The 14,330-nt window shown below is 38.4% G+C and overlaps 1 protein-coding gene across 4 annotated transcripts in view; it reads left to right on the top strand.

The window, feature by feature from the left end:
- DSCAM (DS cell adhesion molecule) overlaps window positions 1-14,330 on the top strand; it is an 836,160-nt gene that overhangs the window by 482,064 nt on the left and 339,766 nt on the right. For all 4 annotated transcript variants that reach the window (NR_073202.3, NM_001271534.3, NM_001389.5 and 1 more), the window contains one exon: window positions 11,352-11,630. Coding sequence is in view for 3 of the 4 variants with exons in the window: in NM_001271534.3 (NP_001258463.1) it covers window positions 11,352-11,630 (279 nt within the window). In the remaining variant the exon portion in view is untranslated. The remainder of the gene's footprint in view (window positions 1-11,351; window positions 11,631-14,330) is intronic.

Genomic DNA, 14,330 nt, shown 5'->3' with positions numbered 1-14,330 from the left:
TCACATTAAATATATTTGTTTATATATTATATATTATAGATACTCATTTTTATTTATAGTAGCATATATAGTGGGATAAGTGAAAAGTGATTATGTTTATGTTATTTTTATTTTTATTTTCAGTATAAGAGAAAAATAAAAGTATGAAATTCTTTTATAATTCTTGAAAATTTATAGAAATTCTTGAAATATAACAAAAATGTAAGGCATTTATACAACTGAAATAATTATTTCTAAATACTTTACATATGTACTTTTTATCCTAAGCTCTAAGAGAACAGATGTGCCTTAGTGTGTATATATATGTATGTGTGTATATATATATATATATATGTATATATACTAGTGTGTGTATATATATATATGTATATATACTACTGTGTGTGTATATATATATATATATACACTTTTTTTTAATTGTACTTTAAGTTTTAGGGTACACGTGCATAACGTACAGGTATGTTACATATGTATATATGTGCCATGTTGGTGTGCTGCACCCATTAACTCGTCATTTAACATTAGGTATATCTCCCAGTGCTATCCCTCCCCCCTCCCCCCATCCCACAACAGGCCCCGGTGTGTGATGTTCCCCTTCCTGTGTCCATGTGTTCTCATTGTTCAATTCCCACCTATGAGTGAGAACATGCGGTGTTTGGTTTTTTGTCCTTGCGACAGTTTGCTGAGAATGATGGTTTCCAGCTTCATCTATGTCCCTACAAAGGACATGAACTCATCATTTTTTATGGCTGCATAGTATTCCATGGTGTATATGTGCCACTTTTTCTTAATCCAGTCTATCATTGTTGGGCATTTGGGTTGGTTCCAAGTCTTTGCTATTGTGAATAATGCCTCAATAAACATACGTGTGCATGTGTCTTTATAGCAGCATGATTTATATTACTTTGGGTATATACCCAGTAATGGGATGGCTGGGTCAAATGGTATTTCTAGTTCTCGATCCCTGAGGAATCGCCACACTGACTTTCACAATGTTTGAACTAGTTTACAGTCCCACCAACAGTGTAAAAGTGTTCCTATTTCTCCACATCCTCTCCAGCACCTGTTGTTTCCTGACTTTTTAATGATCACCATTCTAACTGGTGTAAGATGGTATCTCATTGTGGTTTTGATTTGCATTTCTCTAATGGCCAGTGATGATGAGCATTTTTTCATGTGTCTTTTGGCTGCATAAATGTCTTCTTTTGAGAAGTGTCTGTTCATATCCTTTGCCCACTTGTTGATGGTGTTGTTTGTTTTTCTTGTAAATTTGTTTGAGTTCATTGTAGATTCTGGATATTAGCCCTTTGTCAGATGAGTAGATTGCAAAAATTTTCTCCTATTCTGTAGGTTGCCTGTTCACTCTGATGGTAGTTTCTTTTGCTGTGCAGAAGATCTTTAGTTTAATTAGATCCCATTTGTCAATTTTGGCTTTTGTTGGCATTGCTTTTGGTGTTTTAGACATGAAGTCCTTTCCCTAAATTTTAAAAAATGCATAAAATCCTTGAAATGTCAAATTCCAATAGAAACTATTGGTATTTGTGGTATGCGTGGTGGCTCACACCTGTAATCTCAGCACTTTGGGAGACCGAGGCAGGCAGACCACTTGAGGTCAGGAGTTCAAGACCAGCCTGGCTAACATGATGAAACCCCATCTCTACTAAAAATACAAAAATTACCCAGGTATAGTGGTGGGTGCCTGTAATCCCAGCTACTCAGGAGGCTGAGGCAGGAGAATTGCTTGAACTCAGGAGGCAGAGGTTGCAGTGAGCCAAGATGGCACCATTGCACTCCAGCCTGGTGACAAGAGTGAACTTCCATCTCAAAAAAAAAAAAAAAAAAGAACACAAAAAACTATTGGTACACACTTCAAAAAAAAAGTATGAATTTTCAGTCTTTCCACTGAGAAGTCCCAGAAGTGATGAGCAAACAATAGCAACAAGCCCCTCTAACATCTAGATTGTAGATTCTTTTAAATATAATTCACTACTAAAAGGGACCATGGCTTCTTGGAGGAGTGGCTGATTGAAGGTCTGAGGCAGGAAATGTCTGAGGTGAGTCTGAAACATGAATGGGGTCTTGTCAAAATGACATAGGAATCAACATAAAGCGGCTCTCGTCAGCCAAAGGGGATGAATTGAGTATCAGCAGTGATGCTTGCACATGATTGATAACCATTAAATATTTTGAAAACCTTTGAGTTCATTTTAATTTTATACATACATGTGTGTGTATATATAGATATATACACATATGTACATATATACTTACATATGCACACCTGCATATATATTTCATATAAAGAAAGAAAGAAGAATCTTATTGGTCTGCATAGTAGAAACCAGGGCACTAACTCTTCATTCTGATAACAGATGATTAAAGACAACAACCACTAAATGTATTGTCTTTCCTATAGCTGCTGTATTTTAAGATAACCAAATAACCTTAGTTCAGAAGGGAAAGTTCATTCTGCAGAATAATTATATCTACTGAATGCGAACGAAATGACACAATTAGAAAATTCCATTTTCAACCTTAGCAAAATAGCTCAGATAAATTTTAACATCTGACCTCACTGAACAATTGAGTGTCACTAAGAACGGGAAAACCATACATTTTGTGGAAGCAATGTGAAGTGCACAGCACCCCTCTCAAAGAGAGAGAGGTTGAACACTTATCTAACCAACCCACTGAAATAAATTCCAGTTCATAAGAAAAATGCCTATGGCAATAACGGAACAAGTTAAATGATGACATGGACAAGCAAATTCAGCATGGTAACTACCTGGTTTCTTTTTTTTTATTATTATTATACTTTAAGTTTTAGGGTACATATGCTGCTATAAAGACACATGCACACGTATGTTTATTGCGGCACTATTCACAATAGCAAAGACTTGGAACCAACCCAAATGTCCAACAATGATAGACTGGATTAAGAAAACGTGGCACATATACACCATGGAATACTATGCAGCCATAAAAAATGATGAGTTCATGTCCTTTGTAGGGACATGGATGAAATTGGAAATCATCATTCTCAGTAAACTATCGCAAGGACAAAAAACCAAACACCGCATGTTCTCACTCATAGATGGGAATTGAACAATGAGAACACATGGACACAGGAGGGGGAACATCATACCTGGTTTCTTTAAAAAGCCAAGTCAAATACATGGGAGAAAGGAGGAGGGCTAGCTCTGCATTAAGAAACACTCAAGAGATGTAACAACTGCATGTGAGCAAGAGAAGGATCTTGATTTAATTAATTCAATTGTTTAAAAGCTAGCCACTTTTGAGCTGATGAGGAAAAATGAATTGGGAGTGTATAATACTTGATATTATGTAATACTGACTGTGGTTATGTAACAAAACCGTATTTTTATTAGGGAAACATGCTAGTCATGTAATGATAAAATGACATAGCTTCCCTTTTTTGTTTTTTGTTGTTGTTTGTTTGTTTGTTTGTTTGTTTTTGAGATGGAGTCTCACTCTGTTGCCACACTGGAGTGCAGTGGTACAATCTCAGCTCACTTCGATCTCTGCCTCCCGGGTTCAAGTGATTCCCCTGCCTCAGCCTCCTGAGTAGCTGGGACTACAGGCATGCACCACCACACCCAGCTAATTTTTTGTGTTTTAGTAGAGACAGGGTTTCACCATGTTGGCCAGGATGGGCTCGATCTCCTGACCTTGTGATCCCCCTGCCTCGGCCTCCCAAAGTGCTGGGATTACAGGCGTGAGCCGCTGCACCCAGCCTATAGTTTCCCTTTTGTTGCATATACTTTACCACCAAAAACAAAGTAAAACTATCAAGAAATAAACATGACGAAAAATAGAAAAGGTTTGGTGCCAGAGCCATTAATATGATGAATATATGGGATGCGTCATATTATTTTTGTCTACTTTTCTGTACGTTTTCAAATGTTTGGGGTAAAAATAATTTTTGTAATATATATATATATATAAAAGTTTGAAGACTTTGAGACAAAAAAAAATTTGAAGGGGATGAAAATGAAAGACAATGCCGTTCGGTTATTCAGATTTGATATATGACCAAATATCCCCACAAGAGCCTGTCTCAAGCATTGCTTCAATCATGCACTTAAAATATAAAACATCAGATGCTGTGAGGGTGCAGAGAAAAGGGAACACTTATACACTACTGGTGGTAAAGTAACTTAGTCCTGCCATTGTGGAAAGCAGACTGGAGATTTCTCAAAGAACTTAAAATAGAGCTACCATTTGACCCAGCAATCCCATTACTGAGTAATATATCCAAAAGAAAATAAATCATTCTTCCAAAAAGACATATGCACTTGTATGTTCATCGCTGGGCTATTCACAATAGCAAAGACATGAAATCAGCCCAGGTGTCCATCAATGGTAGATTGGATAAATAAAATGTGGTACATATACACCATGGTATACTGGAAAGCCATAAAAAAGAATGAAATCTCATTCTTTGCAGCAATGTGGATGGAGCTGGAGGCCATAATTCTTAGTAAATTAACATAGGAACAGAAAACCAAGTACCTCATGTTCTCACTTATAAGTAAGAGCTAAATATTGACCACACATGGACACAAATACAGGAACAATAGACACTGTGGACACTAGACTGTGGAAGGCAGAGAGTTTAGGTTAAAAAGCTACCTATCAAGGGCCAGGCACAGTGGCTCACACCTGTAATCCCAGCACTTTGGGAGGCCTAGATGGGCGGATCACAAGGTCAGGAGATAGAGACCATCCTGGCTAACACGGTGAAACCCCGCCTCTAGTAAAAATACAAAAAAAATTAGCCGGGCGTGGTGGTAGGCGCCTGTAGTCCCAGCTACTCGGGAGGCTAAGGCAGGAGAATGGTGTGAACCCCGGGAGGCAGAGCTTGCAGTGAGCTAAGATCACGCCACTGCACTCTAGCGTGGGCAACTGAGCGAGACTCTGTCTCAAAAAAAAAAAAAAAAAAAAAAAAAAGACTACCTATGAAGTACCATGCTCACTACCTGAGGAACAGGATCTCTACTCCAAACCTCAGCATCACGTAATATTCCCATGTAACAAATCTGCACATATACCGCCTATATCTAAAATAAAAGTTGAAATAAAAAAATAAATACCTCATTCAGGTTTCGTAAAACAGTTTTGTTGAGAGGTAGTTTACTTTAATATAAACTCCATCCGGTTTATTCAATTCAATAATTTTAGTAAATGCATGGAGTCGTGCCACAATTACGCCAATTTAATTTTAGAATATTTTCACCACCCAAAAGATTCCTCCTACCCGTTTGAAGCCAATTTCAATGTCCATCCCCAGTCCCAGACAACCACTAATCTATGGTCTGTCTCTGTAGAGTTGCATTTTCTGGATATTTCACATAAATTGATATATGGATTTTGTGTCTGCCTTCTTTCATGCAGCACCCATGTTGTTACATGTATTAGTCATTCATTCTCTCTTGTTGCTGGAGAGCATTTGCTCATCTGTAAATACTGCATTTGGTTATCAATTCACTAAATTATGAATATTTGGGTTGTTTCCACTTTTTGATTATGAATAATCCTGCTATGGACATTTGTACCTAAGTCTTTGAGTGAACATGTTTTCATTCATTTAGGGTAGATACCTAGAACTTGGGGCCTTATGGCAAATTGAAGTTTAAACACTTTAAGAAAATGCCAACTTGTTTTGGCTGCTTTTATTTGGCAAGTATACCACAATACACCTGGGGAAAAAATAAACTCTAGCCAATGTGATGTAAGAGGAGAAAAATGTGTGGGTTTGTAGGAAATTCTGCTTAAAAGTGACTTCACTGAGGGGGCATTCTTAAGCATTTTTGCTGTGATGTGGATGTGAAGGCTGGCACTCCAGCAAGCCATTTTTACGTGAGATGTATATGTGTGCATATGTAAGTATATATTACCTTCCACCAACGATGTATGAAGATTCCAGGTCCCCATATCTTCACCAGCATTGTTTGTGATTTTATTGCAGTCATCCTAATGGGTGTGAAGTCATGTCTTACTGTGATTTTAATTCATATTACCCTAATGCCTAGTAATATTGAGCATCTTTTTGTGTACTGATTAGGTATTTGTGTATCTTCTTTGGTGATGTAAAATAGTCAACTATTTTGCCCATTTTGATTGGGTTGTTTCTTTTCATTATAGAGATATAAGCATTTTTAATATTTTTTGGATTTGAGTTCTTTATTAGAAATATGATTTTCAATTTTTTTTCACTTTCTAAATGGTGCCTTTGAAAATGCTACAGTTCTTAATTTTTTTTTTTTTTTTTCGAGATGGAGTCTTGCTTTGTTGCCCAGGCTGGAATGCAGTGGCATGATCTTGGCTCACTGCAACCTCCGCTTCCCGGGTTCAAGCTATTATCCTGCCTCTGCCTGTAGCTGGGATTACAGGCTCATGCCACCACACCTGGCTAATTTTTGTATTTTTAGTAGAGACGGGGTTCCACCATGTTGGCCAGGCTCGTCTTGAACTCTTCACCTCATGTGATCTGCCTGCCTCGGCCTCCCAGAGTGCTGGGATTACAGGCGTGAGTCACCGCACTGGGCCAGTTCTTAATTTTGAAGAAGTTTATTATGTTGATTTTTTCTGTTTTTGCTTGTTTTCTTAGTGTTATGCCTAAGAACTCTTCAAGGTCATGAAGATATTTTCCCTATGTTTTCTTCTAAAAGTTTTTATAGTTTTAGCTGTTATATTTAGGCCATAATCCATTTTGAGTTAATTTTTGTAGGTAGTGTGAGGCAAGGTTCTAAATTATTTTCCATGTGGATATCCAGTTGTCTCAGCCATTTTTTAAAAATGTCATTAGAATTACATAGCACTATCTTAAGCATATTTGAGAAATTTCTGCCAAGTTTCAGTTAGAATAAAACTTTTTAAGTGCAGTCATTGAGAGTTGATTTTTTATGAATAGCATTAGAAGTTGGTGCATTTCATTTTCAGAGATTGTGGGATTATTCTGCAAAGAAAGTCAGAGGTGCACACTGTGGTGTTTATTGTCAGCCACCCCTGCCAAAGGGGTGACATCTTTGTGCCACCTTCTCCAACTCTACTTCTACTTCCTACTCTAAGTAAAATGACAGATTTTGCAGCTATTTTTTCATAGTACTTTCTAATATCTTCAATATTCCACTCTAGTGTAACTAAAATCTGTATTACTGAAGAACGAGAGCTATCATTATATTCTCACATTTTTTGTTTTTGTTTTTTTTTATTATACTTTAAGTTTTAGGGTACATGTGCACAACGTGCAGGTTCGTTACATATATATACATGTGCCATGTTGTTGTGCTGCACCCATTAACTCGTTATTTAACATTAGGTATATCTCCTAATGCTATCTCTCCCCCCTCCCCGCACCCCACAACAGGCCCTGGTGTGTGATGTTCCCCTTCCTGTGTCCAATTCTCACATTTCTTAATTAAATGAAGACAGAGTTCAGAATAATAGAGAAGCTTACCCCAAGTAATACATATTATCTTGGATGTGATTTCTACTTACTAAACAATATTGCAATGGTGTTTATATGGTCTGCAAGTTAGTGTACTAGGAATTAAAAAATCCCATGTGGTTAAGGATGTCCAGGACCATTTCTGGAGCTGGCTTTAGGCACAACTTTGTGTCTTCTAGTTCACTGAACCCATTGGGTGTGCAGGTGATGATACTTCCAGTAACATGGATGCAGACAGCTAACCATTTTTCTGGATTCTTGGTTCATGCTAGAAGATGCCAGAGATCAGTGAGACATCATTGGTTAGGCCTGTCTCCACTTAATTATTCAGTCTATGGGAACATAACTTGATCTTCAAACCAATACTTTTCAAAGTCCGTTTGTAATTTCCTTTAGAAGCAGGTAAATGAAGCAATGAAGTTTTTGCTGGCACAGGCTCTGTACCTGGGTATTGTGAAACTTTTATATCTCTCTTGCCTTCTGGAGCCCTATAGTCATGCATATGAATGACTGTAATTCTGGAATATAGAATTCTTCAGTTAATGAAGAATTAGAGGAGTCCTGGAAGCTCATCAAGTATTCTTTAAAAGAGTATTTAGGTTCCCTCATTATATCACTGTCATAAGACACCAGTGAAGTAAAAAGAGCAGCAAGTTCATAATGAAGTTTTATCTCTGATGATCACAAAAGAAATAGAAAGCCAAGACATTTCAGCTAAATGTTTTTGTTCTATTTTCAACAGTGCCTGCTGACTGCCCTCAGTGGCTGACTACGGAATCACAGCCTCTTAAAGAAGTCTTCCTACTAATAAATGATTTTTTGATGTTATTGTTTATTAAAACAGAAATTTACTCTCTTGTATATAAGTCCAGAAGCTGGTTTGCCAGCTTCAGTTTCACAAGGGACCAGGCTTTTATCTTTCTGATCCATTATCCTCACGTGCAGTTCCATTCTCAATATGATTTCAAAGTCCAAAGTGATTGCTGCAGCTCCTACCTTTATATCCACCTTCCAGGTGATGTAAAGAAGCAAAGGAAAAATGCATAAAAACACCCCTCCCAGCTAAGTCGCCTTTAAGCAGAATTTCCTACAAATCCACACATTTTCGCCTGTTACATCTCCTTGGCTAGAGTTTATTTTTCCTCCAGGTTAATTGAGGTATTGAAAAATGAAAATTGTATATATTTAAGGTATACAATGTGATGTACAATGTGCATATATATATATATATATATCACTATCAAGCAAAATAACATATCTATTGCCTCACATAGTTAACATTTGTGTGTGTATGTATGTATGTGTGTGTATGTGATGACAATGTTTAAGATCAACTGTCTTTGCAAATTTCAAGTATGTAAGATAGTGTTATTAACTGTAGTCACTGTGCTGCATAGTAAACCTCTAGAATCTATTCATCTGGCATAACTGAAGCTTTGTACCCTTTTACCTACCATATGATCTAGCAATCCCACTCTGGGTATATATCCAAAGGAAATGAAATTACATATCTGCACTCCCATGTTTATTGCAGAATCATTCGCAACAGCCAGAATATGAAAAAAACTTAAGTGTTGATATACATATACACACATGCATAGGAATATCATTCCTATATACACAAAGGAATATTATTCAGCCTTAAAAAAGGAAGCAAATCTTCCCATTTGCAATGACATGGATGAACCTGAAGGGCATTGTGCTTAGTGAAGTAAGCCACGCACAGAAAGACAAACACTGTCTTTTCTCACATACATGTGAAATCTAAAAAAGTCAAACTCAGAGAAGCAGGGAATAGAGATGTTCGTCAAAATTACAAAGTTCCAGATGGCTCTCATTTGATAGGACAGTGAATATCCATTCCTTGGCCATCAGATTTATTGCAGGTAGATCAAAAGAGTCATGGCATTTTTCTCACTGAGGCAAAGACAAGAAAATTTCAGGTAGCAGGAGTCTATAACGTTTCTGTAATATCCATGTGGAATGCAAGGGTATTGTTTCATGCAAGTTCTAAACAGGTTGAATTAGAAGAGAGAGCAGGGTGAGAACACTGAGTTTTACGTTTAGCATCCAATCAGGTGCTGTATTTTATATTCTTCATAGTCATGCAAAGATTATGACCTTGGGAACATCACTCCATTCAAACAAACTTGAAGGACATTGAGCTGCGTGGTTTCCACAGACCCAGTTCTTGAGAATATTTTATCAATTTCCTCACCTGGTTCAAGATGATGTCACAGAACAGGAAAATTATACAAGGCCCTGTCATAAGTGATCATTTGCAAGCTGCTGCTTTTTAATCCATTGTCTTGCTACGCCACATGCTGTCGGTAGTGCTCATTCACCTTATCTCAAATACCATCTTCTCAGAGAGTCTGTCCCTGAGGACCATATCTTGAGTCCTCCTGGCTGCCTCCACACCCATAGCACGTGGACTTCACTCTCTGTTATGCCCTCTTTTTCTTTCTTTAACTACACTTATTACAAACTAAATTATCTTTATTTGCTTGCTAATGTGTTGCTTGCTCCCCAACACCACCCGCCCAACAGAACATGAGCTCCAGGAAGACACCTGTCTCATCCACCACTCTCCCTTTAGTCCCTAACTCTGTGCTGGTCTACACTGAGGGATCAAAACATATTTGTGAAATGAATAAATAAAATGTTTTAAAATTCAAAAGCTATGTGTAAAACTCTTTTGTGCAATAAATTTTACTAAAGTTAAACAGCTATTTCTGCTTATGTTGCTCTTTTTTTTTTTTTTTTTTTTTTTTTGAGACAGAGTTTCTCTCTTTCACCCAGGCCGGACTGCAGTGGCGCTATCTCGGCTCACTGCAAGCTCTGCCTCCCAGGTTCATGCCATTCTCCTGCCTCAGCCTCCCGAGTAGCTGGGACTACAGGCGCCCGCCACCACACCCAGCTAATTTTTTGTATTTTTAGTAGAGACGGGGTTTCACCGTGTTAGCCGGGATGGTCTCGATCTCCTAACCTCGTGATCTGCCTGCCTTGGCCTCCCAAAGTGCTGGGATTACAGGCCTGAGCCACCATGCCCGGCCTAGTGTTGCTCTTTTTTTCTGTTTAAATTTATTTAGGCTGGGTGTGGTGGTGCATGCCTGTAATCCCAGCATGTTGGGAGGCCCAGGCAGGAGGATCACTTGAGCCCAGGAGTTTGAGACTGTGGTGAGCAATCATTGCACCACTGCACTCCAGCCTGAGCTACAGAGTGAGCCACTAACTTAAAAAATATTTATTTTATTAATTTTATGATATTTTATTGATGCATAATAGATATATAGTTTGGGGTACATGTGATAATTTAATGTATTCATATAATTTGTTAAAATCAAATCAGTGTACTTGGGATATCCATCACATTATATGTTTGGCTTTTCTTTAAGCTATAATTATTTCAATTCTTCTGTTTTAGCTATTTTGAAATATACAATACATAATTGCAAACCATAGTCATTCCACTGATCTGTCTACCACTAGGTCTTATTTCTTATCTCAAATTGCATATTTGTACCCATTAAGGATCTTTTAAAGAGAATTCTGACATTCCCAGTTATGAAAAGACAATCTGATTTTTGGCCTGAGCTGACAGCTCTTGTTGAAGCCTGCTCATTCTGGATCTTTTATTCATTTACTGAGGAATGACCAACAGAAGCTCTGACCAGTGTTCAACCTTTTGTAAATTCTGAGCAGAAAATAAATTGTATGAATAGGGCACTTCTTTTTCTGTTCACTTATAAAATCTTAAAGATCTGTATCAATAGTTGGTATGATGCACCGTATTTAAGTTATACATGAAGTCCTACAATTCTAAATGACCACTTCAACTCCTCATTCCTGCCTCTAAGAGTTTTTATTTCTTCTACAGACCCAGCGAACTCAGCCCCATCCATACTGGATGGGTTTGACCATCGCAAAGCCATGGCTGGGCAGCGTGTGGAGCTGCCTTGCAAAGCGCTCGGGCACCCTGAGCCAGATTACCGCTGGCTGAAGGACAACATGCCCCTGGAACTTTCAGGGAGGTTCCAGAAGACCGTGACGGGGCTGCTCATTGAGAACATTCGCCCCTCGGACTCAGGCAGCTATGTTTGTGAAGTGTCCAACAGATACGGAACTGCTAAGGTGATAGGCCGCCTGTACGTGAAACGTAAGTTGGACGGTAACTTGCAAAGGTGGTGTTGGCTTCCATCGATGGAGCTCCTGTTATAAGCAAATCTCCATGTTTTCTCTGTAGCTTTCCATTAACTCCCAAAACAGTCCAGCTGAGATCAACAGAAACCTCATTTTACAGATGTGAAAATTAATGCTCAGATGAATTCCCCAAGGTTACACAACTGGAGAGTCTTGGCTGTCGGATTTGATTTGAAATCTTTCTGATCCCCAAACCTCTGTGATTTCCATTAGGCCACAGACTATTACATTTCCAAGATATGATTTCAAGATAACACTTCCTAGCTGATGAATTCACAACAACCAGTCTCTCTAAAAATGAACAGAGAGAGAGGGTAGGATTGTTCTTTCAGCACAAGTGATGGTAGCCAATCAAAGCAGTTGTCCTTTGTCTGTTTCCAGACCATTTCTCCATTAAATTTCTAAATGAGGCTATTATCACCCAAAGTACGGGGCTCAAACATACCCAAATATTAGACTTGTGCCTAGTATTATAGATCATCTACTCCAAATATAATGGATTTATTTGATCTTCTATTGATTGCCTTGGCTGCCTTGAGGAATGTGTTCAGAAGGATACTGAAGGCAGATTTGGAGGAAGGAGGGATGTGATCGCAGGGTCACAATCTAATCTACTCAACCACCCTCAATTTTGCTCTTGCAGAAACCAAATTAAAGTGAATTACCCAAGATCACATGGCCAGAAAAGGGAGGCAGAGCATTGGTCAGAGAGGAGGTCTTAGTTGCCAATATAATGCTCCTTTTTTGAAAATATATTTTTATTTGATGAACTAAATTGAACAAATTTAACCACAAGAATCTCACAGTGACAATAGAAGTGTTTTCTTACTTCCTCCTCCCCACCCAGCCCTAACCCTGTTTATGGAACTTTCTCTTCAGTGTCAACCTGAGTGTAGACTGCCTTAGCGCAACACCAGCCTAAGAGAATATATTTATATTAAATATCCAAATGACTCTCTATCTGGAACAGGCTGTCCAGCCTGAATCCTGCAAATATTTGAATATGTTTAGTCTGGGATTAGAAAGAAATGGATGATAAAATCCACAGTCACACTTCTATAGCTGAAGAATCATGTGGATAAAATAATGCAGCATTGGACAGCCAGTAAGAATTATTCCCACGGGCTCAAAGTCTCTTCTGTGTTTAAAGACCTCTCCTAGCTCCCTGTTCTCCATTGAATAAAGTTTATATCTTAGGATAGTACTGAAGGCATCTCAAGCAAATCTGTCTGGTTGTATTTCCCATTGTTTTGCATTAAAACCCACTTATGACTAGTGTTCCATTATTGGAACACTAAGCATGTGGGAGTTATTTACATCCTACTGTGCAAGGTCATCACCAAGGTCTGATTGCAAAAATTCAAAAAAAATTGCAACCTCAGGCATAAATGGGTTAATAAAAACCTATTCCTGCTAAATCTAACTTCTTCCTAATCCCTGCACAAACCTATTCCTTTCCTGATTGCAAGTCACATTACTTATGTTGCTTCCTCCACATGGAAGATTATTTCCCAATACTTGGTTATCTAACACTTCCCAACTCTCTTAGCCTCCATCCACAAAGATGTGTTGTTCCCCATTCTCCTGTCTCCTTCTCAACTCAGAGTATGTTACTGCTTTCTCTCTAAAGGCGTTTATCACTACCTATATTTTAAAAGCCTTTATTCTTAATGTGCTTATTTTTATCATTGTTCCCTTCTTCCACATCTAGGTGATTCTCCAATGCTTCTGGAATATTCTCTGCCTCCCTTCTGACTGCTTCTTCTAACTGCAGAAGAAAACAGCTTCTTCGTTCCTATCTCTCTTCTCTATTGGAAGGCATTCTCTTGGGCTCCAAATTCAGAACTGTCTTCTTGTCAAGCTCTTCCCTTTTCCTTAGGCTCTGTTTCATTTGTAGAGCTTCGAATTCCTTGCCCCTGAAAATAAGCTCTGAATCTGTACTTACAGCCTTGGCGTCCTTCCTGAATGTCAGACAAGTGTGTCAACCAGCTTTCTTTCAGAAATTTAGTTGGCACTTCAAAACAACAGGGTCGGATACCAAACTGAACTCTCCACCACCTCTTCCTTCCAAATGGCTCTTGTTATTATTATCAACATCTTCCTCCTTCTCATCCCTCAGATGCAAACATGAAATGTTGGGTGCCCTTTAAGCCTTTCCTTTCTACATCCTGCCAAGTCCTGCCATGTCCTGCCAAGTCATACAAACTGAATCTCACAGTTACTCAGCTCTGTTCTCAACCTCTGTCCTGTCCTAGATTGGATCTTAATTGTACCTACACTAGACATGTGTAATGTCTTCAATGACGGGTTTTCCTCACCCTAATTTGTCAAAAGACCTATGACCTAGTGATTCCATTAAAAGTATGTTTGTGCTGGGTGTGATGGCTTGTGTCTGTAGTCCCAGCTACCCAGGAGGCTGAGGCAGAAAGGGAGAGGAGTTTCAGGCTACAGAAACTCCTCTGTATGATTGTGCCACTGCACTCCAGCCTAGGTGACAGAGCAAGGCCCCAATTCTAAAAAAAAAAAAAAAAAAAAAAAAAAAAGTATGACTTATTTGCTAAACACTTTTGAATGCCTTCTTTAGTTATCTTTGTTTAATTCCAAAATCTCAGGGACTCTCTGTTGCATCCAAAATGAATCAGAAATTCTCAGACAT

Source organism: Homo sapiens, chromosome 21 (genome assembly GCF_000001405.40).
Source record: "Homo sapiens chromosome 21, GRCh38.p14 Primary Assembly".
Taxonomy (NCBI): Eukaryota; Metazoa; Chordata; class Mammalia; order Primates; family Hominidae; genus Homo; species Homo sapiens.
This window is presented reverse-complemented; position numbering and strand designations above follow the sequence as displayed.